Genomic DNA, 26,973 nt, shown 5'->3' on the forward strand with positions numbered 1-26,973 from the left:
CTTCCACTCTTCCACATCCTTCAGACCCACCTGCTCACTGCTGCACTCAGGCTCACTTATGCCATCTCTCAGCCATGGACTGATCTCGCAGATGGCAAACAAAGTATACCCAGAGTCCAGAGGAGGAAAAGGCAACTTCCTGTTGATGTTTCACATGCAATCTTACCTTTTGGACAAAGAGCAGAACTGCCTGATTCAATCTTTTATAATTTACTTTTACCTTAAGGAATTGCATATATAAACTTATCTTACTGCACGGCTTTAATTCCATTTTGAATATGTATTTTCTTGAGATTATTGATAGTCTCCATAAAAATCTTTGCTTCCTCTCATTTACATCTGAAAACAAAACAAAACAAAAATGCTGATGGACAAACGTAGTAGCATGGGCATACACCTGAACTGAGGAAAAGCCAGAATTGGCAGCACAGCACACAGGGCCTTCCTCGTCAGGAATGCACCTTGTAGAGTACACCGCTTCACTCTGATGGGTGGAAAAGGTCTCTCTCCACCTCATTTCCAGTGGATCCTGCATTTCTTCAAGGAATACAGATCATGTTCTATTGAGCTTTCCAATTCATCATCACAAAACTACAGTTTTCAATTGAAAATACATAATACTCAAAGAGTAAGATGGGGAAGTGGTGAGTAAACTCATTTTTTAGAATGGCAAAATGTCAGAGCTGGGAAGCAGCTCGGAGCTGCTTTAATCCTGTGCGGCTCAAATGGGAAGGCATATTTGTCCCTAACAATGAGTCAGAGAACCATGAAATGATACATAAATTGATTTTGTTAAAAAAAAACCTTGACACGCAACACTGACAGAATACAAGCTGAGCAGCACTAATCTGAAAATCTGAAATCTGAAATCCTCCAAAATCTAAAACTTTTTGAGCACCAACATGACATCACAAGTGAAAAATTCTGATGTTTCTTCTCACCTACGAAAATTAAACACAATCCAAGCACAATGATGCATACCTGCAGTCCTAGCTACTTAGGAAGCTGAGGCTAAAGGATTACTTGAGCTCAGGAGTTCAAAACCAATATGGGCAGCATAGCGACACTCTGTCCCCTAAAAGATAAATAAAATAGGCCGGGTGCAGTGGCTCACACCTGTAATCCCAGCACTTTGGGAGGCCAAGAAAGGGAGATCACTTGAGCTCAGGAGTTTGAGACCAGCCTGGGCAACACAGTGAAACCCTGTCTCTATAAAAAATACAAAAATTAGTCAAGTGTGGTGACATGTGCCTGTAGTCCCAGGAACTTGGGAGGCTAAATTAAGAGGCTCACTTGAGCCTGGGGGGCGGAGGGTTGGGGGGGCATTAAGCCGAGATCATGCCACTGCACTCCAGCCTGGGCAACAGAGGAAGACTGTCTCAAAATAAAAATAAAAATAAAAATAAAATAAAAATAAATAAATAAAATGAAATAAAATAAAAATACATAAAACACAGTGTACAGTGACCTTTTAATCACAACACAGCATCATAGGTGGACACTGAAAAGTCTGCTGCTGCTGTTATCTGACGGCTGATCCAGGTACTGTGGCGATGTCACTGGGCTGGTTAGTTACCCGAGCACATCATTTCCTCACTGTATTAATGCTATGTCATGTTCTTTACTGCTGAGTACTCCCATGCGAGCAAGGGTAAGAAGATGACTGCCACTTGGTAGCATATAAATCCAGAACCAGGCACGATGGTGGCATTAAGCAACCAGACTGTCCACATGGGTGGCTGGGATGGTGACATCTTTGCTTTCTGATGGTTCAATGTACAGACCTCATTTCACGCTAAATTTATTTAAAACATTGTATAAAAGTACCTTCAGGCTATGTGTATAAGGTGTATACAAAACAATTCTGTGTTTAGACTCGGATCCCATCCCCAAGATACCTCATTATGTATATGCAAATATCCCAAACTCCAAAAATAACTGAAATATAAAACACTTCTGGCCTCAAGCATTTCAAATAAGGGATACTCAATCTATAGTTATAAAAATGTCTTCCTCAAGTTATTAATACAGCCCTGGAGGCACTCCCTAAAGTCTTATTATCTGAACCTGCAAATTACCTTCCTTAATAATTAAATGCCATTTAACAGTGTTATAAGTGGTGATAAAATACACCTTATTTTACACATGCATTAATGTGAAGTCCTCCTTTCTTGAATTTAATATTCCTAATATATACGTATTTCTTAGCATTTCAGTGAAAGGGAAATATTCCATAACAATTATAATCCTATATAGCTCTTGAAAATCACACCTCAGAAGTCAAGACAAGGAATCTAAATAGAGCAGACATAAAACACTTGACCGAAGTCAGGATCCTATCTTCATTAGTCCCTCCATGCCCAGTCTAGATCCCATTTACTCCTGTCTTTGCAATTATGTTTTTTTCCATTATGTTCAATCCTTCCCTGTCACTGTTTCAACAGCTTATTCTGTCGCAAAAAAAAGAAAGTGAACGTGGGGAGGGGAGGAGCTGAGGAGCAAGGGAGGAGCTGAGGAGCAAGGGAGGAGCTGAGGAGCAGGGAAGGAGGGCAGAATCAGCAGGACTGGACGTCCTCCTGGCCTCCTGCTGAAGAGGCAGCTCTCAACTGTTTCTATCTCCAACCTCCCAGAAAACTTTCCTTCTACAAGAACCAGCCTCCTGCTTGCTGGTGGACAGGGAGGACCTCTCACAGCACAGTGGAACAGACCAGCCTTTCCCTTGAAGCCCACTCTACCCTCTTCCACTTCGTCACCTGCTTTCTCAGCCTCTTGGGAATGCTCTTCTGCACTAAGTAGGGCAAAAGCTCTCTTGCCCTGTGCAATCAAAAGAAATAGTAAATCAAATGGGCAATCATAAAGATGAATACATAAATCTTTAGCTATTTTATACATCTTCATTCACACGGGCCTTTTTCTGAGACTTGGTCAATTAGATATTATTTCTTTCCCACATAAACTATATCCATAATGCATCAACAAAGATCTTCATTGTTTTTTAAAGTGCAGCTGAGAGACAGGAAAACCCTCTGAATAGTACAATGCTTCTATGACTCTTCTTCAGTTTTTATCCTTATTTTCATATCTAATTCATCAGCAGTTTCTCTGTGATTTGTTTTTGAGATACTCCAAAGTTTTCAAATGAGTAACTGCTTTTACACTATTTTGATCAATTTATATTAATTAAATCACACAGCTGCACGAATGAGTATGATCGATGAACAAGTTTGGAAGCTGACCTGGCTTTGGTAAGCACACAACTCCACTGGTGGGAAGAGGGAACAGCCCTGCTGAAGAGAAGCCCAGCGCCAGTGTGGTGCAACCCACAGGTATGCATGGATCCACAGACAGCGTTGATCCTGGTGACAGGCCACGGTATGTGTGCAAAGGAGTCTACCTCCTTGTCTCCTTGAGTTATGCTCCTGTGCTCCCAGTTTCTCATGGCTTCTGTTCACAACCATATGCTCAGTTTCAGCACAAAATTATCTAAGTGAATGCCCAGTGAACACCTTATGATCCTGCAGAGTTCTCAAAATCAATTCCCTACTTCTCATTTAAAACAAATACGAACTGATAACCAATCTCTCTTATTGAAGGACATATCATTGACTCAGGTGCCCAAGGCAGAAACTTGCAAATACAGCTTTAACTTCTGCTCAAGTTTCTATCCCTGTCATGAAACTGTGCAGAAAACCACCAACTGAACTGAATTACCACCCAGTTTCTTAAAGCATCTCCCTTCTTCCCACCTCCCCAAACTCCACAGATTCTTCCAGACTGCCCTCCCTAAAGCGAGGGACTCGCAACTGAAACCTTCTGACAGGCTGCACCAGGATAAAGTGAAAAGAACCACAGCTACTGAGATGCTCTCCCCATCCTCCCACAAAGCCTTGGTTGGTTATTCTATGTACTCCTGCAAACCTTTACACCCAGGAATACAGCATATCAAATTATCATCCTCACTCCAACACAAAAGTTTTATCACTCGGAGGTCAGAAATATGTCTACCCTGTTCACTGTTGTATCCCTAACACAGTACCTAAACGAGTAAAATCTCAGTAAATACATTAATAATTTATTATCTTGTGGCAACAAATGTGGGAAAAATTAACTAGCATTTAAAATATGAAGCCCAGAAAATGGGATGAGTCCAAAGAACGGCCTCTGCTGGTGCACATTCCAAGTGGTGTAATAAGGGAAAAGGCAATATTCACAGCTGAGGGCAAAATTACTTTGAGTTAATTTTCATTTTCATTTTATTTTATTCTCTAGACTTTGTATATGCATACATGCATGTCCGTTTAAGTGTGCACCTGGGATCTAAACATACAAAGGAGTTAAATACAAAGTGATGACTAAAAATTTTTATTGTATTATCAAAACAAATCACTAAAGAAGTTCCGAAGTGGCAAACACATACTGAAACAATTATTTGTATTGGGGGATGTGAGATCGTGAAATATATATATTTGGTTTTCCTCCCATTTCATGGCATAGAATTCTTAAAATCCCTGGAATCTCCCAAGTAATAAATGTCTTTTTGTATACTAATGATATGACTGGGCTGGCAGTCCTAAGGTGTTTTCAGGATGGGAACTAGTCACCAGAAAGACCGAGGCAGAATTAGACTGTTGGGACTTTCAGCCCACTCCCAATCTCCAGGTAGGGGAAAGTGGCAGAAGGTTGATCATCAATGGCCAATGATTTCAGCAATCATGCCTATGTAACGGAGTTTCCACAAAAACCCTAGGCTGGGTGCGGTGGCTCACGCCTGTAATCCTAGCACTTTGGGAGGCCGAGGCAGGTGCATCACCTGAGGTTAGGAGTTCAAGACCAGCCTGGCCAACATGGTGAAACCCCATCTCTACTAAAAATACAAAAATTAGCTGGGCCTGGTGGCGGGCACCTGTAATCCCAGCTACTTGGGAGGCTGAGGCAGGAGAAATCACTTGAACACGTGAGGTGGAGGTTGCAGTGAGCCTGAGCCAAGATCATGCCACTGCACTCCAGCCTGGGTGACAGAGCAAGACTCCGACCCAACAACAACAGAAAAAGGACTCGGTTTGGGGAGCTTCCAGATAGCTGAACACATGGAGGTTGTTAAAGAGTGGCAGCCCAAAGAGGGCATGGGAGCCCCTTGCCCTTCCCCCACACCTTGCCCCACACATCTCGTCATCTGCATCCTTTGTAATATCCTTCAAAATAAACCAGGAAACATGTTTTCCTTACTTGTGTGAGTCTGTCAAGCAAAGTAATGGAACCCAAAGAGGGGGCCATGGGGATCCTAGGAAGCATGGGTAAACAACCTGTGGCGTGGGAGTGGCATCAGAAGGGGCAGTCTTGTAGGGATGAGCCCTCATTCTGTGGGACCTGACACTATCTCCAGGTAGAGTGTTGAGACTGAAGGGGAGGGTGCCCCACTGGTGTCTGCTGTAAAACTGATTGGTTGCTGGTGGGGAGAAATCCCCGCACATTTCTTGGTGACCAGCGGTCACAGAATTCTTCTGGGTTGATTGTTGTGACGCGAAAGCAGGAGAAAAACCGCTTTTTCTTCAGGAGGGAAAGGTCAAAAAATCCTTTCCAAAATATACTGAAAGCTATGAAACAGAATTCAGAAGTTCCAGGACTCCTCCAAGTTCATCTACAAACAAGAAAAGGAAACGTCAAGGAGTGCAGGCTGCAGCACGGGGGGGGCCTCCCTTGCCAGGTGGTGAGGGGCCGACCCACCTCTCCTCCTTTGGGGGACACCTGAAACAGATAGCACAATGCCTGGCACACAGCATGTGTTACACACCACAGCCAAACGGCAGGCGTGGGAGCTATGAAATTCCAAGTTGCGGCCAGGCGCGGTGGCTCATGCCTGTAATCCCAGCACTTTGGGAGGCTGAGGCGGGCAGATCACAAGGTCAGGAGATCAAGATCATCCTGGCTAACACGGTGAAACCCCGTCTCTACTAACAATACAAAAAATTAGCCGGGCATGGTGGTGGGCACTTGTAGTCCCAGCTACTCGGGAGGCTGAGGCAGGAGAATGGCGTGAACCCGGGAGGTGGAGCTTGCGGTGAGCCGAGATCGCGCCACTGCAATCCAGCCTGGGCGACAGAGCACGACTCCGTCTCAAAAAAAAAAAAAAAAAAAGGAAATTCCAAGTTGCTCAGAGAGTCAATGTCACTGACTCCAAGCACAGAATCCAACAACAATCTTCAAATATTAGGCATTACACCTGCAGACCAGAATTGTTTCCCAGAAACAATGCAAACTGTTTAATATTAAAATATAGTGAATGTCCCCTAAAATTGTTACTTACAAAAGTACTTTTTACAAAAGAGACCGGGCTCTGTGGCTCATGCCTGTAATCCTGGCACTTTGGGGGGCCAAGGCAGGTGGATCACCTGAGGGCACGAGTTTGAGACCAGCCTGGCCAACATGGTGAAACCTCGTCTCTACTAAAAGTACAAAAATTTGGCAGGCATGGTGGCAGGAGCCTGTAATCCCAGCTACTCGGGAGGCTGAGGCTGGAAAATCACTTCAACCTGGGAAGCGGAGGTTGCAGTGAGCTGAGATCGCGCCACTGCACTCCAGCCTGGGTAACAAGAATAAAACTCCATCTCTAAAAAAAAAAAGAATTTAAGTTCCAAGATTTTTTTTTTAATCTTACTTTGGTTTACTATTCCAAATGACAATTACCTAAGACATAGCAGTACCATCTCCATCCTATAAACAAATTGGATTACAATTACAGGCCAGTTATGGTTATATGCCTACTTCAATAGACAATGTGACTGAGAAAAGAAAAACAGCTTAGTGCAGTTGAGCTATGTGAGGTATGCAGGCCCAGAGAGCCGTGAGTGTGGGACTTCTGTCATGCCTCCCGCCCCAGATCCATGCTGAGCAGAATTGTTTAGTCATTTTGTTCCTGACTGGCTGCCTTACCCTTATCTTCATGTTCCTGAAATCTATGACAACGATGAACAATGTACAGCCAATCAATAGCTTATGTTATTTTGATGTACATTTTTTGTAAACAACTCAGGAACTGCCTTTTTTCCCTTTAAAAATCTACTTCCAACTTCTGCTAATGGGGTGTATACTCAGAGCAACCTGAATCCATACACCTGGGCTGCAATCCTCAGGCTTGGCCCAAATCAACTCTCTACTTATATTAATTTTGCCTCAGCTTCTTCCTTTTAGGCTGACATACGTGATGTAAGACAGCAGGATTCAGAATGTCTCCCCTCAATCACCTGGTTTTTCTGAGAGTGGCGCTGGGAACCAGTGTGACACTCTCCATCTTCAGAGGTCTCATGTGGTGTTTTGTGTGAGGTCTCCTGAAATTGGAACTCCCATTCTTTGGCTGAACATCTAGATTTTACTTGGACTGTTTTTCAAACTCCCTCTTTCCTTTAAGAGTGAGGGCTTTGCTGTCTTTGGACAAGAGACTGGGGTGAAGAGTTCCGCAGACAACTGCCTTCTTTCTGCCTCTGCCTCAGGGCCAGGATTTTGGGTCAAGGTTTTTCCACCTCTGCTCATGGCAGAGGTTTGGGATAAAGGACTGGCAGATACTGGTGGTTACGTTTTATAGAGCATGCTTTTAAGATTGCAGCTGTTTTCTATCATTTGAAAATCTGGGCTTAGCCTTTCATTTGTGACCAACTCCTGTTAGTTTCCTACTGAAAAGCACACAGCCCTTTTGCTCCTCCAGATGGGTGTGAGGGTCTGGTCCCCCGTACCCTGCTTGAGCACTCCCGTCCCCTGGCAGTTAGGGACAGTCCAAGTCACATCACACTTAGACCCTAAACACATTCCCAGCCATTTGTCACTTTTCAGAAGTTAGTAAATTATACAAAATTGGACTTTACAATCTGAGCAGTCTTTGTGGAAACATCAGCTGGATGTGTGTGCACTTAGGGGGCACTCTCTTACATTTAGAAAGTGGAGCCGCCTAACACAGGACAGTTGTGAGCAGCAGTAGCCAAAATGAGCATCCTTTAAGTGTCTAAAATAATTAATCTGTGTACCTAATTGGGGGAAAAGTTGGCTTTAGAACCAGAGAAACTAAATGGGAAACGTACTTTATGTTTGTGCTGAAATCTGATGATAAGATTTGAAAACATTCTTTTTCAGAGTTCTACGGTCAGAAGTATAAAAAGCTGATACTTTGGCTATTGTTTTTTTGGAAGGAAAAAAAAAGCCTTTCTGCTTTTTCCTCTTTTGGATCCTGTTTCTGGGAACTCTTTTCAGTCAACTGAAACTCACCTTAAAATGTGTTTGATCCCTGTTTGCTTCCTGTCTTGTTGGTATGATTTTTGTGGAGGAAAATACAAAACTTAATTTGCCTGTCAGAAAGCTTAAGATCTTCCTAAAATGGTTCCTCTGAGACTTGTTCTGTTTCCTTCCACACTTCTACTCCTTCTTTTTGCCATATTTGATACATGAAGAAATCTAGAGGACACTTCTAATGACTCTGAGACCCGCTTCGGAACACAGGAAGAGGCAACACTCACCCCCTTCTGGAAGGGTCTTCTGTTTTCAGTACGGAGTCTGAAGAGTTGTGAGTAGTTTCCTCTCAGGTCTAAAGCTCTGCTCCCTTTTGCATTGCGCTGTCCAATTTCGTGGTTTTCGGGGGCTTTCGGGATTACTTTACACTGTGAGAGAGACCCTGACTTTTGTGTGTGCAATGGCGGACAAGTCACTGGTGAAAGCTGCAGTTTGGGAAGTGGCTGACTGAATAGTTGTTACTGCAGGATGGCTACTGTTTCTTTACACATTTAGACAGATGCAGTTTGAACACTTGGAGGTTAGGAGAGTGCTCACCACCAAGTGATAAGATTCCCATATGGGATGGGCTGGTCACAGTGGGCTGACTGGGCCACTCACCAACCTTGAGGGAATGTCCTTGCAGTGAGAAGCACTGTGGAAGCTCTGCGTGGCAGGTGTTATGGCGTTTCCCTCCTTTGGGGGACCCAAGATTCAGTCTATTAATAAAAGTGGAATCCTTGATTTTTAAAGATGTAGATCAAGGGTGTCCAATCTTTGGCTTCCCTGGGCCACACTGATCTTGGGCCACACATAAAATACACTAACACTAATGACAGCTGATGAGATGCTTAAAAAAGAGAGAGAGAAAAGAAAAGAAAAAAAAATCGCAAAAAAAAAAAATCTTCATACTGTTTTAAGAACATTTACAAATTTGTGTTGGGCCGCATTCAAAGCCATCCCAGGCCGAGGGTAGGACAGGCTTGATCTAGATGCTCTGCCTTTCATCTGTGCCTGCTTTTCAAATTTAAGTATTAGGCCCTAGAAACTGCAAATGTTTTCTTTTTCCACTCATTAAAGTCAGTAATCTAACCAAGAAACATCTAGGTTGGAAGACCACCTATCTAACCAGACTGCTCTCCAATATATGACGTTCTATGGCCGAGCGCATTGGCTCACACCTGTAATCTCAGCACTTTGGGAGGCTGAGGCGGGCAGATCCCTTGAGCTCAAGAGGTCAAAACCAGCCTGGGCAACATGGAGAAACCTCGTCTTGACAAAAAAAAAAAAAAAAAATTCAAAAAAAAAAATTAGCGGGGCATGGTGGCGTGCGCCTGTGGTCCCAGCTACTCGGGAGGCATCACTTGAGCCTGGGAGGCAGAGGTTGCAGAGGTCACTGCACTCCAACCTGAATGGCAGTGAGACCCCATCAAAAACAAAAACACAAAATATGACTTTCTGACATTTAGCTAGCTATCCTGAACCTCTTTATAAAAGAAACTGACATCTGTAAGGGCATCTCCCTTCCTGCACTCAAGCCACTATAAACTTTTACAATGAAAAAAACATTGGCTTAAAGTTTACAGAGCAAACCTTCCCTTTGCTTGATGCTTTTCCTGGCAATTCCTGACTATCCCTTTTTGATTCAACAAATAATAGTGTTTAGATCTAAGTTCTCTGCCTTTGGGATGTAAGTTTTCACCTGAGAGTCATGTCTTTGGAAGTGAAAATTTAGGGTTGTCTAGCAATCTGAATTGTTTAGGGGAGTGGAACAGATAATTAAGAGACTGATAGTCTAAAGGAGGGGGGGAATTATTTTCACTAGCAAATGAAAAATCTTATAAAACTGTAAGATCTGCTTCTGTTAGTGCATCTGCATGTCTTTACTTTTATGTATCATATATATGTGATATTTCACTACCAAAATATATGAAACACCTCTAATTAACCAGCTTAAAGAAAACACAAGTGCTTAAATCAAATATTTCATCAGACAAATAGAAACTCAAATGTCTTTTAGTTCATGACTTGGGTAGATCTTTGGTAAATAAAGATTAGTTTGTTGGTTTAATGAAAGGAGCTATGTCTTCTCATCAGCAAATACTCATTCATTTAACTCTAGGGTTTCACAGGCTGTAGAAATGATTAACAAAGAAATAAATTGAGATGATGGCTAACTTTGTTTAATGAACTATTCAAGCATAATAACTGTTAAGAATGAATAAATTAGGGCCGGGTGCAGTGGCTCACGCCTGTAATCCCATCACTAGGAGTTCGAGACCAGCCAGGCCAATACAGTGAAACCCCCTCTCTACCAAAAATACAAAAATTAGCTGAGCATGGCAGCGCACGCCTGTAGTCCCAGCTACTTGGGACGCTGAGGTGGGAGTATCACTTAAACCCAGGAGGCTGACGTTGCAGTGAGTTGAGATCAAGCCACTGCACTCCAGCCTGGGTGACACAGTAAGGCTGGGTCTCAAAAAAAAATAAAAATAACGAAGAATAAATTAGATGAATGTAAATAAGATATTTATAAACAAACTTTTCATAGTTTCACAAACCCTTTTCAAAAATTTAATCTTAAAGCCATGTTATGTTAATTAACAGGTAATCATAAAATATCTATCTCATTTATAGGGTACAGAAAAGTTAAATATATTTAGGTTATAAACAAAATATATTTAGGTTATAAACAAAAATTGAGGAAATATTCAGAAATTGTTGTCATGTGGTATAAAACAGTTCAAAATTACTTCCTGGGTTTTTCACTGGAAATTCGAGTTACTAAGAGTTAAAATTGTAGTTAATATACGTAATTAAAACTATTAGGTATAAGAAACAATTTTATATACAGAGCATATTTTAAAAGATGTAAGGAAAGTTGAAAAGAGACTAATTGTTTTTCCCTTGTACACAGAGATCTTTGTATGGTCAAAATGATAAGGGGGAAAGGAAAGTAAGTTTTTCTCTTAAGGTAAAATGCCAATATAAAAAAGAAAGGTAGGTTGCAGTGAGCCGAGATCACGCCACTGCACTCCAGCCTGGGCTACAGAGGAAGACTCAGCCAAAAAAAAAAAAAAGTCGAGTGAGGCGTGGTGGCTCGCACCCGTAATCCCAGCACTTTGGGAGGCCAAGGTGGGTGGATCATGAGGTCAGGAGTTCAAGACCAACCTGACCAACATGGTGAAACCCCATCTCTACTAAAAACACAAAAATTAGCTGGGCATGGTGGCGCATGCCTGTAATCCCAGCCACTCGAGAGGCTGAGGCAAGAGAATTGCTTGAACCGAGACCCGGGAGGCGGACGTTGCAGTGAGCCGAGATCATGCCACTGCACTCCAGCCTGTGCTACAGAGGTAGACTCAGCGCCCCACCCGCCCCCACCGCCCACCCCCCAGCAAAGAAAAAAAAAAAAAAGAGGTATAGGTCAAAACCAAAGGCTTCAGCAAGTTGTAGACCATTTGTGGAAGATTAATCTTGTGAAAAAAAAATTGTGTGTAATCAAGCTTGCTAAATTAGAAGAGAATTATTTAGTTTTGCTAAAATTGAACATTAATATACAACGTACACAAATGCAGGGCCAGAGTCTGGGCCCCTGTGTCAGAACAGCAGACTTTTCTTGGAGCACTGGTCTGCTCTTTAAGAAAAAATTTTAAGTGGTTGTAAAAAGTTTATGGAAATTTTATCTTGCATGGTCCAAGCTGATTGAGATTTGATGGACAGTTTCATTAAAATAGCTTTATACTCAGGAGGCTGAGGTGGGAGGATCACTTGAGCCCAGGAGTTTGAGGCTGCAGCGAGCTATGATTACACCACTACACTCCACCCCAGGCAACAGAGCAGACCCTGTCTCCAGGGGAAAAAAAAATAAAAGGCTCTAGCACTGACAATATACTGATGCAAAGGTAAAATTTATTTTTCTCTTTTGAACAAGATGTTCATATAATATTAATGAGGATAACAAAAGACTTTTGCTCACCTTTTGAATAAGCTGGAAAAAAAAAGATTCTGTTGGTCTCATGTCGTCTTTTTAGGTCTTTTGATTGTTTAGAAAACTGAGTATCAAAAAAGAGAAAAAGTTTTTGTTTTTTTGGCCGGGTGCAGTGGCTCACACCTGTAATCCCAACACTTTGGGAGGCCAAGGTGGGTGGATCACGAGGTCAGGAGATCGAGACCATCCTGGCTAACACGGTGAAACCCCATCTCTACTAAAAATACAAACAATTAGCTGGATGTGGTGGTGGGCGCCTGTAGTCCCAGCTACTCAGGAGGCTGAGGCAAGAGAATAGCGACTCAGGAGGCTGAGGCAGGAGAATGGCGTGAACCCAGGAGGCGGAGGTTGCAGTGAGCCCAGATGGCGCCACTGCATTCCAGCCTGGGAGACAGAGCGAGACTCCGCCTCAAAAAAAAAAAAAAAAAAGGTTTTTGCTTTTTGAAATATTTCAATTATCTGGCTAAATGACTATTATTTTACAGCAACCTGTGATTCTGTTTTGAACAACATCCTTTTCAATATTTGACACATTTCCCAAAATCAACTTTCAAATTCTAAAATTAAGTCTTTTCCAAAAGGAACCCCCTGGAAGTCCGAGAGAGACCTATTAGGCTTAATTGGTATGTTAAAATTGTATGTGAAGCTTTGTCAAATAAGAAATGGTGTTTAACTTTGGGTTATATTTGTGTGCATGGTATTAATGTGTGTTCCAACGTTACATGAGATTTCTGAAATCCTGATATGTCTTGATATGTCAGACATAATTATGGTTATTATGTTAAATTGTTGTATGCCACAAAAATAACCAAATTTCCTTGTAAATTGTGTCTTTAACTGTAGCTACTCTAAGTCTTTTGGCATCCACAGACAATTATTGTTCTACTTTGACTCTTCTCAAAAAGTAGTTTACACTTGGCTACAGTCAAAAATTTGCTTTTTCTTCAAGGGAATTCATGGAAAATAATTTTTTTTTTAAGAGACAAGGTCTTGGCTGGGCGCGATGGCTCATGCCTGTAATCCCATCACTTTGGGAGGCCAAGGCAGGCAGATCACCTGAGGTCAGGAGTTCGAGACCAGCCTGACCAACACGGAGAAACCCCATCTCTACTAAAAATACAAAACTAGCCAGGCGTGGTGGCGCATGCCTGTAATCCCAGATACTTGGGAGGCCGTGGCAGGAGAATCACTTGAATCTGTGAGGTGGAGGTTGCAGTGAGCCGAGATCACGCCATTGCACTCCAGCCTGGGCAACAAGAGTGAAACTCCGTCTCAAAACAAACAAATAAATAAAGAGACAAGGTCTTGCTCTGTTGTGCAGATTAGAGTGCAGTGGCACTTTCTAACTCACTACAACCTCAAACTCCTGGACCTAAGTGATCCTCCCACCTCAGCCTCCCAAGTAGCTACAACTATAAGCACACACCACCACACCTGGCTAATTTTTCTATTTTTTGTCGAGATGGGGGTCTTGCTATGTTGGCCAGGCTGGTCTTGAACTCATGGCCTCAAGCGATCCTCCCTTCTTGGCCTCCTAAAGTGCTGAGATTATAGCTATGAGCCACTGCGCCAGGTGGTAAGTACTCTTGAATACAAGTTTCTGATAATTTTGAAGACCATTATCATTGGAGTAAGTAAAAACTTTCAGAACTCTAATAAACTGTTGTGTTCATGATGATTGCTAACTCTGTATATCAAGCAGAATAAAACTTAATTACATGGGACTGAAATTACAGATGACTGAAATGATTTTGACGACTTTTTGTTTGAAACATTGCTGATTCTTTTCATGTTTTGTTTTCCCAAGTCGAGGAAGCTTTTTTCTTTCAAGCTTTTTATAGCTTGTAGCAAATGGGTAAAACATAACTTTATGAGCAAGACTGAAACATTCACCTTACTCTCTACCTTATTTCTCCAAAATGTATAAACTATTCATGAGTACTCTTATTTTATGACAGTCTAATTATATGCGTTTTAAGTTCAATAAAAACCGGTTTATTGTAACAGGACACAATTAAGACACTGGTTATTCTACCGACACTCTTGACTGGAATGGCGTATTTTAAGATATGACCAGACTGGTTTAAAGAACAGAGGTTGACTATGTAGAGCCAATAAAAAGCCTGTTGGAAAGACTAGCCTGGTACCTTGTTTACATGGCTCCTTTACAAGGTTCCTGATGTGCAGCAAGTAAAACAATCTTACTTTCTGACAAGCCCAGGAACCTCAAGATATTTTGCGACCTCAAGAAGAGAGGAATTCACCCAATTCATGTAAGTATTACCAGCATAGTCCTTGGCTTGGCTTCCTAGCCTTGAGGCTTTATAGTTGAATCCAAAATTCCTTATGAAAGTTCCAGCAAAGACAACTTAAAGAACCTATATGGCCAATCATTATTCTTGTTGCATTTTATGCAAATAATCAGCCCAAGTATAATACTAAAACTTATTTTGCAAGTAAGCTGGTCCTCCTAAGATTTATATCTTCAGTAAAAATGGGGACTGGAGAGAGAAAAAATTATGCTTCATAAGAAAACTATAGTACCCATGTTATTAGATTCCAGCCTTAACCATTGTGTTTGAGTTTTTATTGTTTTCCTACAATTTGGATTGAATCTCCAATGTAATAGGATTTTTACTATGTATTTTATTGTTTTACCTCTAAGAAAACCAAAAGCATGAAATTCAAAGACTACAGAAGATTTAACAAGCAATGACAGTTACATAAATCAGTGACTTGACTGAGGGCTGAGAATGAGCCTTCCCAGCACCGTCATACATCATCCCATCATAAAAATCCACTTGTAACTGCCGCTGAGCAACTTGGTCTATGCTCCTGGGTTGCAATCATCATGCTTGGCCCAAATAAACTCTTCACTCAGCTTCTTCATTTTAGGTCAACACTAACATCACAAAAAGAGTTTCAGACAGGCCGGGGATGATGGCACATGCCTGTAATCCCAGTGCTTTTGAAGGCCAAGGCAGGAGGATTGCTTGAGCCCAGGAGTTTGAGACCAGCCTGTGCAACAAGATGAAAACCCATCTCTACAAAAAAATACAAAAATTAACCAGGTGTGGTGGCACGTGCCTGTAGTCCCAGCTACTCGGGAGGCTGAGGAGGGAGGACCGCTTGAGACTGGGAGGTCAAGACCACAATAAGCCAAGATCACGCCACTGCACTCCAGCCTGGCAACAGAGTGAGACCCTGTCTCAAAAAAAAAAAAAAAAAAAAAAAAGTTTCAGGCAAACTATAAGAATCAGCCATTGAAAATTCCTATCACTTCCAATGATTCTGAATTACTGTTCGGAAATGTAGATAACTTTACTCAATCTTGTAGCATAGGATATCTCTGGCTTCAAAGATAACCACAATGGGCCAGGTGCGGTGGCTCACGCCTGTAATCCCAGCACTTTGGGAGGCCGAGGTGGGTGGATCACGAGGTCAGGAGATCGCAACCATCCTGGCTAACACGGTGAAACCCCATCTCTAATAAAAAAAAATACAAAAAAATTAGCTGGGCGTGGTGGCGGGCGCCTGTAGTCCCAGCTACTAGGGAGGCTGAGGCAGGAGAATGGCGTGAACCCGAGAGGCGGAGTTTGCAGTGAGCGGAGATCAAGCCACTGCACTCCAGCCTGGGCAACTGAGTGAGACTCCGTCTCAAAAAAAAGATAACCACAATGAAAATTACTATTAATACTTTGTTTAACAGTAATTATTCAACTATTAAATATTTAAATAATTAAGTTATTAAACTATTAAGTACAGGGCCTGTATCTCTGATGCTGAACTATGATGTGTGACTTAAGCCCCCAAATACATCATGTTATTTGGATCCAAGGTGCTGCACAGAACGCTGACCCTCTCTAAGAGCTGGGTATTACTTGCAAAAGGCTTATAAGCATCGGTGCATGGGTCGTTCAGTGGTAGAATTCTCTCCTGCCACGCAAAAGGCTTATAAGCAAGAAGCTATAAAGTTCCCATTTTCTGTTCTTCCTGTATTGGATGATGTAAAGCAAACTGTCACCAAGACTCAGTTTCCCAAACAGTAAAACAAGTGTTCTGAAGAATAAATGGGGGGAAAAAAGGGAGGGGGCTTTCAATCCTCTGAATTACAAGTCCAATACATTGTTGAGGGTGGGAGTTGTTGCAATTTGCTGTAGTTTCTTAAGAGTGTAAGATAGTGTGAAAGATCCTGACACACACCACAGTTGCCTGAGGACAGTAAACCAAAGGCCAGGAGAGCTCACAGCAAGTCACATTATCTCTAGTGTGAGTTCCTCTACACAAAGGTGACGGGTATGAACACAGGTGTTGAAGTTGGATCCAAGACTGCACACAGACTCCTGTGTTAACAGCGTGGACGTTAAAATGAACAACTCTCCCTGAATGCTTTAGGAAGAAAACCATTTAATTTACATGAATTTCTCTTAGACTATTTCTCAAAGATGAACTGTAAGCTGCAGTCTGATTACACGATACAAACCGGAGGGTGTTAACCAGAACACCAATTAGCACCTCCCTATTTGGATTAAGGTTAATGGATTATCTAAAATGACAAAACACTTAATTTTCCTGGAGTAAATATATTTCAATCTTTTAAAAAGCACAGTCTAATAACTGCTTTAAAAATCTACCTCAAAAAGTTAAAACACTTATTTAAATTATCTAACATACATAAAATTAATGCTTTCACCAATTTCTTTTGATATACCACAGCGGAGGGTGCGCCTTAACAGCGACCACAGTAAACTCTGCAATTACAGTGCAACGGGATGCTGGACTTAAAGAGGAGGCTCGTTACAGTCCTAGCTCTGTCACCAACTAGCCAGCTGTATCTCTAATTAATTTTACCTCATGGGCTTCAGTTTCTGAGTCTTCAGAGATCTAAAATCCTAAGACTGCAACTGCAATATTACACTGTTTTTCTGACAATTATTTTCACAAACTAGTTACCAAATCTCAGTTGACAAAATAACGTAGAACAAAACTCACAGTCTTAGAATATAAACATCTTACTTCAAAAGTACTATTTAATTCACACCTAACATTTTATGAATTAAGAATTAATCAGGCCAGACACAGTGGCTCAGGCCTGTAATCCCAGCACTTTGGGAGGCCAAGGCAGGCAGATCACTTGAGGCCAGGAGTTGCAGACCAGCCTGGCCAATATGGAGAAACCCTGTCTCTACTAAAACTATAAAAATAAGCTGGGCATGGTGACGTGCCTGTAGTCCTGGCTACTCTGGAGGTTGAAGCACGAGAATCACTTGAACCCAGGAGGTGATGATTGCAGTGAGCCAAGATACAGCCACTGCACTTCAGCCTGGGGGACAAAGTGAGACTCTGTCTCAAAAAAAAGGAATTAAAAAGAATTAAAGGTTCCTTCAGTCTTTTAATTCCAGACTGATAACGATGGAACTGATAAAAAGAAAACACTCCATGCAACTGGGTTAAGGCTGATTAAATGTTATGTTCACTATTATTATTATTAAACATTTCGTAAATATATGCTTTACAATAAATTTACCTAACCACACTTCCCAACATCAAATTGAAAACTGGAAGTTAAGGGTCAGGCATGGTGGCTCACACCTGTAATCCCAGCACTTTGGGAGGCCAAGGCAGGCGGATCACCTGAGGTGGGGAGTTCGAGAGCAGCCTGACCAACATGGAGAAACCCTGTCTCTACTAAAAATACAAAACTAGCCAGGCGTGGTGGTGCATGCCTGTAATCCCAGCTACTCAGGAGGCTGGGGCAGGAGAATCGCTTGAACCCAGGAGGTGGAGGTTGCAGTGAGCCGAGATCGCACCATTGCACTCCAGCCTGGGCAACAAGAGTGAAACTCCATCTCAAAAAAAAAAAGAAAAAGAAAGAAAGAAAACTGGAAGTTAATGATCCAGCATTTATTTGCCTTGCTCATATAATTATCTAACACAATTTGTGGCCATATAACGATTTTGGGAAAACATCTAGTCTACAGTTATTTATGTTGAGCTGTAACTTCATGTGATTTCATGAAAAACCTATTCTCAATAACAGAATAAAACTACCACTTCTTTCTTTCCTGTAAGGTTGGCAGGGGGACGCGGGGAGGGGGAGGACTACCACAATGACCAACACACTTCCAAAATTCTGAACTTACAGGAAATAGTATGCCAAGAATCTGTGTGGCCTTGCCTGAAAGATAATAAAACTTGTGGTCACTCGGAATCCTAAGGCACACTGCAAAAGTTTACTCTTCACTGGAATTTCTCCAGGTCATGGAGATTTTTAAGTGCCTCAATGCTTCTACAGTTTATTTGGCAATTCTACATCCCATTTCCAGTCCTTTCATGCTTAGGTTTAACTCTCCTGTACTGAGCCCTAAAGAATAATGATTTCAGCAGAAGAGATTAAATTCATCGGTGTGTACAAAGAAATGGGAAGAGCAGGGAAAAACTGAAGGCCACGTGCACACGCAGCAACACTGGTAATACTGCTTCCCATATTCATTCTTTGGTCTTCACTGACAGCGTGAAGAAGCAACTATTGCTGATTCATCAGTTACTCATTTTCACAATGGTCAGTACTCCAAGTCAGCGGTAACCAATCTTTTTTGGCACCAGGGACTGACAGGTTTCATGCAAGACAATTTTTCCACAGACAGAGCGGAGGGGTCAGGGGGTGGGGGGTGGTGAGGAGGATGCTTTCAGGATGAAACTGTTCCACCTCAGATCATCAGGCACTAGATTCTCATAAGGAGCATGCGACCTAGATCCCTTGCATGTGCAGTGCACAGTAGGATTTGAGCTCTTATGAGAATCTAGCGCAACTGCTCATCTGAGAGGAGGTGGAGCTCAGGCAGTAATGCTCACTCACCCTGCTGCTCACCTCCTGCTGTGCAGCGCAGTTCCTACCAGGCCATGATGGGTACGGGTCGGACAACCTGGGAGTTAGGGACCCCTGCTCCAAGTGACCCACTGAAAGGCAACCTGAACTAGCAATTTAGCCTGGTAACAACTGTCAATGGAGCAAGGCACAGGGGCTCACACTCATATTCCCAGCAACCTGGGAGGCTGAGGCTGGAGGATCACTTGAGGCCAGGAGACTGAGGCCAGCCTGGGTGACATGGCAAGACCTCATGTCTCAAAAAATTATTATTTAAATAGCCAGGAGGATCACTGGAGCTCAGAAATTGGAGGCTGCAGTGAGCAGTGGCCACACCACTACACTCCACTCCTGCAGCCTGGGCAACAGAACGAGACCCCGTCTGTTAAATAAATAAATAAATAAATAAATAAATAAATAAATAAATAACAAGTATCACTGGAGGTATGGATATTAACCACAGAGGAATATGGAACATAGAACTTAAAATCATGCTACGCAGGCCGGGCACAGTGGCTCACGCCTGTAATCCCAACACTTTGGGAGGCCAAGGCAGGCAGATTGCTTGAGGTCAGGAGATTGAGTCCATCCTGGCTAACATGGTGAAACCCCGTCTCTACTAAAAATACAAAGAAATCAGCTGGGCGTGGTGGCACACGCCTGCAGTCCCAGTTACTTGGGAGGCTGAGGCAGGAGAATGGCGTGAACCTGGGAGGCAGAACTTCCAGTGAGCGGAGACTGTGCCACTGCACTCCAGCCTGGGAAACAGGTGAGACTCCACCTCAAAAAAAAAAACAAATCATGCCAGACAGAAGTCCACCCAAAAAGACTTTCACAGTAAGCTACTGTATTTACAGTACTCAAGAAACACTAAATGCCAGTGTTCTATCCGTGGTTTAAATGTTTTTAACCTCCTAAAAGCACAAGAGACAATGCTTTCATCCTTTCAAATGTCTAGATTTTTAGAAGGTAGCTTCCCATAGGGACTTCAAGTCTACTTTTAAAGTCAGGACTGAATGGTTAAAGCAATGAACTAGAAATCCATTGGGGTTTCCCGGCACAGGTCTGAATCCTACCAATTACCGCATCTTTTCCTTTGCAAACGTGATTTACTGACCCCTCCTCCAGATGGAGAGCCTGGTATTTACTACCTCTCAGGAAGAAGTGTGACTGCTCCCCAACCTGACCAAACTTTCCCCCTTTATGGACCCAGTAAAAAAAAAAAAAAAAATCTGTACATGCCTCCTAAAGGTTACTGGTATTCTCTGACTGATAAGGCAAAAATTACACAGACGATAATCTCAACAATGAAATACAAATATGTAATCAACAAAGATAAAAAGAATGCTCAGAAAAGCATGAAGCCACCTTTAAAGAAAATTTTAAAGGACCTGATATTTTTAAAAAGAGAATGTTCAACATGTTAACAGATAACAATAACTGAAGCAATTTGTACATCTATACCAAATTGATCACTAGGTTTTCATCTCTGTATTTTGAGCACTGACAATAAAAACAAAGCTCTCTGAAATGTGAAAACAAAATGTTCTCATTTTTCAGAGACACTCCTAAAAAAGGCATGTTTGAAATTATCTGAAATAACAAATATACTTTAAACAACTGGCAAATATTAGCAAATTTAAGACATATTTTATAAACAAATTTTAAAGCATTTTTAGGCCAGGTGCAATGGCTCACATCTGTAATCCCAACACTCTGGGACTGCTTGAACCCAGGAATTCGAGACCAGACTGGGCAACATAGTGAGACCCGCCACCTCTACAAAAAAAAATTTTTTTTTTAATTAGCCAGGTGTGGTGGCATGCACCCATGGGTCCCAGCTACTCGGGAGGCTAAGGTGGCAAGATCGCTCAAGCCCAGGTCGAGGCTGCAGAGAGCTGTGAGCATGCCACTGGACTCCAGCCTGGGTGACACAAACTGTCTCAAAAAAATAAAATATTTTTTAAACATACACGATTATATGTAATACAAATTAAAGGGATTTTAAGGAAGCTGGCTGGTCTCATTTAGACTGGGGCTTGGCCTTTTCAACTATGAAGAGAGGTGTACACAAGAAGAAAGAGATTCCCTACCTTGCCGCCCAGTAACACCCACATGTGACCACTCCCTGCTTCCACACGACTCTGCAAAGCAGAATCATTTAAAAAAGACAATTCTATGACATAAAATCCTCCAACTGCTTCCCACTGGTCTTAGGATAAAGGGCAAAATAATCAACCTATATGGGACCTCCCAAGCTCTGTAAAATAAAACTCTCCACCTACCTCCCAGCCGCGTTCTCTTCCTTCAGCCTTGTTCACACTAGTTCCTTCAAAGCACTCTGCACCTTTCCCACTTGGGGCACTACACAGGTAATTCTCTCTGCTGACCTCTCACTCCACCACCATCCCTCCAACCTCGGTGCCACCATCACAACCTCAGGGAAGCCTTCTGATCCCTCCCATCCAGGCCGGATGTCAGTGCACTGCACTTTCTTATTGGATTATGTGATTGTCCACCTGTCTCAATGGACACCAAACTCCAAGAGATGGCAATCTATCCCTCTTGTTCACCATACTGGGATCTACTCATCAACTATTTAGCGCATGCTACCTACCAGATATTGTTCTAAGGCTTAGGTTCATACTGAGGAGCAAAATATAAATCTTGATCTCATAAGAGTTTACATTCAAGTATGAGAAGACGGGCCATACATAAATTAGTAAGTAAATTATATGGTATGTTATAGTGTCATAAATACTATGAAAAAAGTACAGCAAGAAGGGGAGACAAGGAGAGTGCAGGGCAGGATACACCATAATATATGTGACTGTTGTAGCAGACTATCCAAAGAAGCATGCAGCTGAGAGCCAGCCACTTCCAGAGGCCAGTCTCTATGGCTTTACATAGAACAATGCACTTTCCTATTCCTGCTGGATGACGGGCCTTACAGAAAAATCCTGTTGCCTTTCATCTTTGCATCCCTAGTGTTCAACTGGTCAGAACACCTGCCACAGGAAGAAAATGAACCCTTTTCTTACCGTAATCTCAGTGGCCCTCCTTTATGCCAGGCCCTTTAGCAATACTTAACAGAAAATAAAAAATGGAAAAACATCCACTAAAGTTTAAAAGATACATTTTCAATATTGCAATTGTTTCATTTTGGGTTAACATGATGTTTTTATTTTAAAGCAAAATAAAGGTAAGAAATTCTATGGCTATCTAAAAGGGGGCATTTATTTTATTTTATTTCATTTTTTTTCAGACAGAGCCTCACTCTGTCGCCCAGGCTGGAGTGCAGTGGTGTGATCTCAGATCACTGCAACCTCTGCCTCCCGGGTTTAAGCAATTCTCCCGCCTCAGCCTCCCAAGTAGCTGGGATTACGAGCACGCACCACCACGCCTGGCTAATTTTTGTATTTTTAGTACAGACAGGTTTTCACCATGTTGGCCAGGCTGGTCTCGAACTCCTAACCTCAGGTGATCCACCCGCCTCGGCCTCCCAGAGTGCTGGGATTACAGGCGTGAATCAAAGTGCCTGGCCGAAAGAGGGCACGTTTTTAAAGACTGAGAAACAGTATAATTTAAAGGTCATGTGGCTAAATTACTCTATCTGAAAATACTTTATGCGCTAAATGTAGCTATGAAAAGTCAGTTAAAAACTTGTAAATATAACTTTTATACTCTATAAGAAACTTTCTAATGTATGCTTTTTGAGTAAAGATTTTCCTATTTGTTTACAGAAATGTGCAAGTATACAATCAGCAAACAATTTCTCTGGAACACAGGTGGGAGATGTCTTTGAGCATTCTTATCTCTTTACTTGAATTACTTTCACTAAACATCTACAGTTTACCAGTCCCTGGGCTGGGCAGAGGTGACAAGCATAAAAAGAGAATCTCACTCACAAGGAGCTTACATTAATTATGTGCTAAGTAACACAAAGGTACACTTAGTTGCTACAGAAACAGAGAAGCATAATCTCAGAAGTTAATGCAAAGCAGTCTGGAGGACTCCTAAAATATCTTTTTAAGGATGGTTTAAGGAGCTAAGTAAATATTTTAAAAATTTTTTTAAAGGAGGTGGACATTCAATTTCAGTCAAAGAATCTACCAACAGCAATGGCTACAACGTTTGCAACACCAAGGTAGGAGAGGGAGGCGTGGTCCTGATTAAAAGGTGGGGCAGGGCAAGAAGGAAGACACAGAAGTGGAAGCACACACAGGGCGAGGCCTAGGGCAGTCCTGATGAGTTTCTGAAAAGAGGCCAGCCATCAGGCTATGCCACACTCTGGCTACAGTGCGACTAAAATGATTTGTGTAAATAAAAGAGCATTTTATTGGGCAAATTTATGCACATCAGACTTCATAAAGAACACTTTCAGCAAAGATCAAGTCTCATCTCTATGATTATCATACTCCCCCTAAAAAACTAAGCAGTACGCTTTCAAATTTGTGTTAAACATGGCCGGGCGCAGTGGCTCACGCCTGTAATCCCAGCACTCTGGGAGGCCAAGGCAGATGGGTCACTTGAGGTCAGAAGTTCAAGACCAGCCTGGCCAACACAGTGAAACCCAATTTGTACTAAAGTACAAAAATTAGCCGGGCGTGGTGGCACGCACCTGTATGTAGTCCCAGCTACTCAGGAGGCTGAGGCAGGGGAATCGCTTAAACCCTGGAGGCAGAGGTTGCAGTGAGCCGTGATCGTGCCAGTGCGCTCCAGCCTGGGCAACAGAACGAGACTCGGTCTCAAAAAAAAAAAAAAAAATTGTGTTAAACATGAAATACTTTCAATATTGCAATGTACTCCATGGTCTAGGTCTCCTAACCAGGGCAATGGGGTTGATGGGAAAGAAGATGTAAAACCAGTAGCATCACTGAACTGCAAATCCTTTATGGTTGAAATAGGAGCCATGACAGCTTCACCAGAAAAACTATGAGAAGACAGAGTTTATAAAGGCATTGAAGGGACAAAAGGTATTAAGGTATGGGGTGGCGGGGGGGCAGTGAGAAAGAGAAGGGAAGGAAACACAGCTGAGTTAATAATTTTCCTTGTTCCTAAGGAAGGCATTTACACACAGGAAAAACAAAGCATTAGAACGTTAGGGGAAAAAACTTTCAAGTTGGAATTTATCTCCCTTCTTTTGAGAACCTAGCAGTTTTCTACCTTACAATTCCATGTTCTAAAAAAGGAATTCATTTTCCAATCAAAATAACTCTAGAAGTAGAGTAGTTACAAAGATATCAACCAGCATAAGAGCAAAAAGTTTAAACTGAACTAAACTCAGACCTGATGAGGTTAACTCTCTGAGTGCCTCATTTACTTCGTACTCTAAAATAAGCTTTTACAGAAAAAGGAGAACTCTTCACATCAATAAAGTTCTACAAAAGAGCATAAGCAAGGAAACCCTTACAGCAGTGTCTGTTTTTAACAAGGTATTTTCCAAAAACATGACTTCAGTGTTCATGTCTTCTCCCCATTGGAAAAAGGTTGTTTTGAGAATTTTGTAGAAGAAATTACAAGAATATACTCCAAGATTTTTGTGCAATTTATCAATCTGAAAAGAATATCCCTAAATCTGACAGAATCTATAAGAGTACTGTATGCATGATAAAAGCATATTTAAAACTTGTACCTTTGGCCAGGTACGCCGTGGCTCACGCCTGCAATCCCAGCACTTTGGGAGGCCGAGGCGGGCGAATCACCTGCGGTCAGGAGTTCAAGACCAGCCTGGCCAACATGGTGAAATCCCAACTCTACTAAAAATACAAAAAAAAAAAAAATTAGCCAGGTGTGGTGGAGGGCACCTGTAATCCCAGCTACTCGGGAGGCTGAGGCAGGAGAATCACCTGAACCCGAGAGGCGGAGGATGCAGTGAGCCAAGAACGCACCATTGCACTCCAGCTTGGGCGACAAGAGTGAAAGTCCGCCTCAGGAAAGAAAAAAAAAAAAAAACTTGTACCTTTAACACTAGGATAAAAACAAATGAAATCGATTGATGGTAACACATCTATACAGCTTTTTTACAACTTTGAGAGGCCCTAACATAGACAACACGTTACTAAGATTAGAAGACCTAGATTATAATCCTAGCTATCACTATTTTGACGGAAAATATGAATTTTAACATGACAATGAAATAACAGTGAAAGGAGTTTGTCAGCCACTCCTTGGCTGGTAACATCTACCATAGCCTATCACTACAAAAACTTGCAAATCTATGTAGAGTAGCTGCAGCTACCTGAAGGCACTGTTCATTGTAAACACCATTAACAATTTGATGTCCCAATTTGCATGTTTTGGGGGTGGGGGGAGACAAGGTCTCACTGTTGTCCAGGATGGAGTGCAGTGGCAGGATCATGGCTCACTGCAGCCTCAACCTCCCAAGCTCAAGCGATCTTCCCACTTCAGCTTCTCCAACAGCTGGACTACAGGTGTGAGCCACCATGCCTGGCTAATTTTTTGATTTTTTGGTAGAGATGAGGTCTCTCTATGTTGCCCAGGCTGGTGAACTCCTGGGCTCCTAAACTCACCTAGGCCTCCCAAAGTGCTGGGATTACAGGAATGAGCCACCTCACCCAGCCTGCACGTATTTTAGAACTACATTTTAAGATAATGTGAAGACTGCTTCATAAAAACACCTTAAATATATACTTGTCAAAACTTGTGCTTACTTATGGAAATTGCATTAAATTCAATAAATTCTTTAAATCTCACTTTTAAAAATGGCAATCTTCCCGAACATTAAACCAAATTACATTTCTCCCTGAATTTGCTGCCACTTAATTTCAGCTACTCTTCTACAGAATAGTACCCATGTTATCTTTTTTTCTGTCTGGTTCCTACTCAAAAAGAGTGGAACTGCTTTCTCCAAATATGCATTCTGTGCTCAGAAGCTGTTTTCTCTGCCCAGATACATGTGTAAACAAGCCAAAAAAAACAAAACAAAAAAACAAAAACAAAAACAAAACTTTCTGCTAATAGATTGACAGCTACAAGGTAGAATATTTTAAAAATTCAGTAAGCTGGGCGCAGTGGCTCACTCCTGTAATCCCAACACTTTGAGAGGCCAAGGCAGGTGGATCACTTGAGGCCAGGAGTTCGAGACCAGCCTGGGCAACATGCTGAAACCCCGTCTCTACTAAAAATACAAAAATTAGCCAGGTGTGGTGGCATGTGCCTGTAAATCCCAGCTACTCGGGGGGCTGAGGCAGGAGAATAACTTGAAGACCTAGGAGGTGGAGGTTGTAGTGAGTTGAGATCGTGTCACTGCACTCCATCCTGGGTGACAGAACAAGACTCCAACTCGGGGGGGGAAGAAAAAAATCAGTAATAGTGAAAATAGCAAAACCAGACAACATTTCCATGTTTGTGTTACAACAGTCCTAAGAAAATGAGATTATCATCATCCCCCTGTTACAATTGAGAAAATGTAGGCAACACGAGGGTAACTTCTAATGAATAAGCCATGCCTTTGTTTCATATAAATAAGTCAACTCAACTCACATTAACTTTTCAAAATACCGGATAAAATTTATTTCTAACCAATGCAAGTTTCAAAGATAAGTACACAAATTAAATTTATGATTAAATAATAAGCTTGTTAATCTGATGCCTTTCGGAACGCATTTCACTTAGCAAACCTCAATTAAGCTATTTCTTATATGGTTTGATTACAAAACTGCCTTTCAGCATATTAAATACAAGGAGAAAAAACTGAAAAGCCACAACGATTTCAACTTCTGTAAATTACCCTGACTGTAATGAGGGGCGCCAGGCAGGTTGGGGAAGTATGGAAATTGCACACTGCACACACCACCTGACCACCAAGAAAAAAGAGGACACCACTCTTCCCCACTGT

General features: G+C 42.0%; 1 protein-coding gene across 11 annotated transcripts in view; it reads right to left on the bottom strand.

Annotated features, from left to right (window-relative positions):
• Positions 1-26,973, bottom strand: part of LARP4B (La ribonucleoprotein 4B) — a 181,428-nt gene that overhangs the window by 96,264 nt on the left and 58,191 nt on the right. For 3 of the 11 annotated variants that reach the window (XM_047424896.1, XM_047424892.1, XM_047424899.1), the window contains exon 1: positions 8,502-25,487. The exons of 7 other annotated variants lie outside the window; for them this stretch is intronic. The gene's annotated coding sequence lies outside the window, so the exon portion shown is untranslated. Of the gene's footprint in view, positions 1-252; positions 1,122-8,501; positions 25,488-26,973 lie in introns of those variants that run through there. One more of the 11 variants, XM_047424895.1, reaches the window with a different exon arrangement.

This window comes from Homo sapiens, chromosome 10, assembly GCF_000001405.40.
Source record: "Homo sapiens chromosome 10, GRCh38.p14 Primary Assembly".
In the NCBI taxonomy this organism is placed as follows: domain Eukaryota; kingdom Metazoa; phylum Chordata; class Mammalia; order Primates; family Hominidae; genus Homo; species Homo sapiens.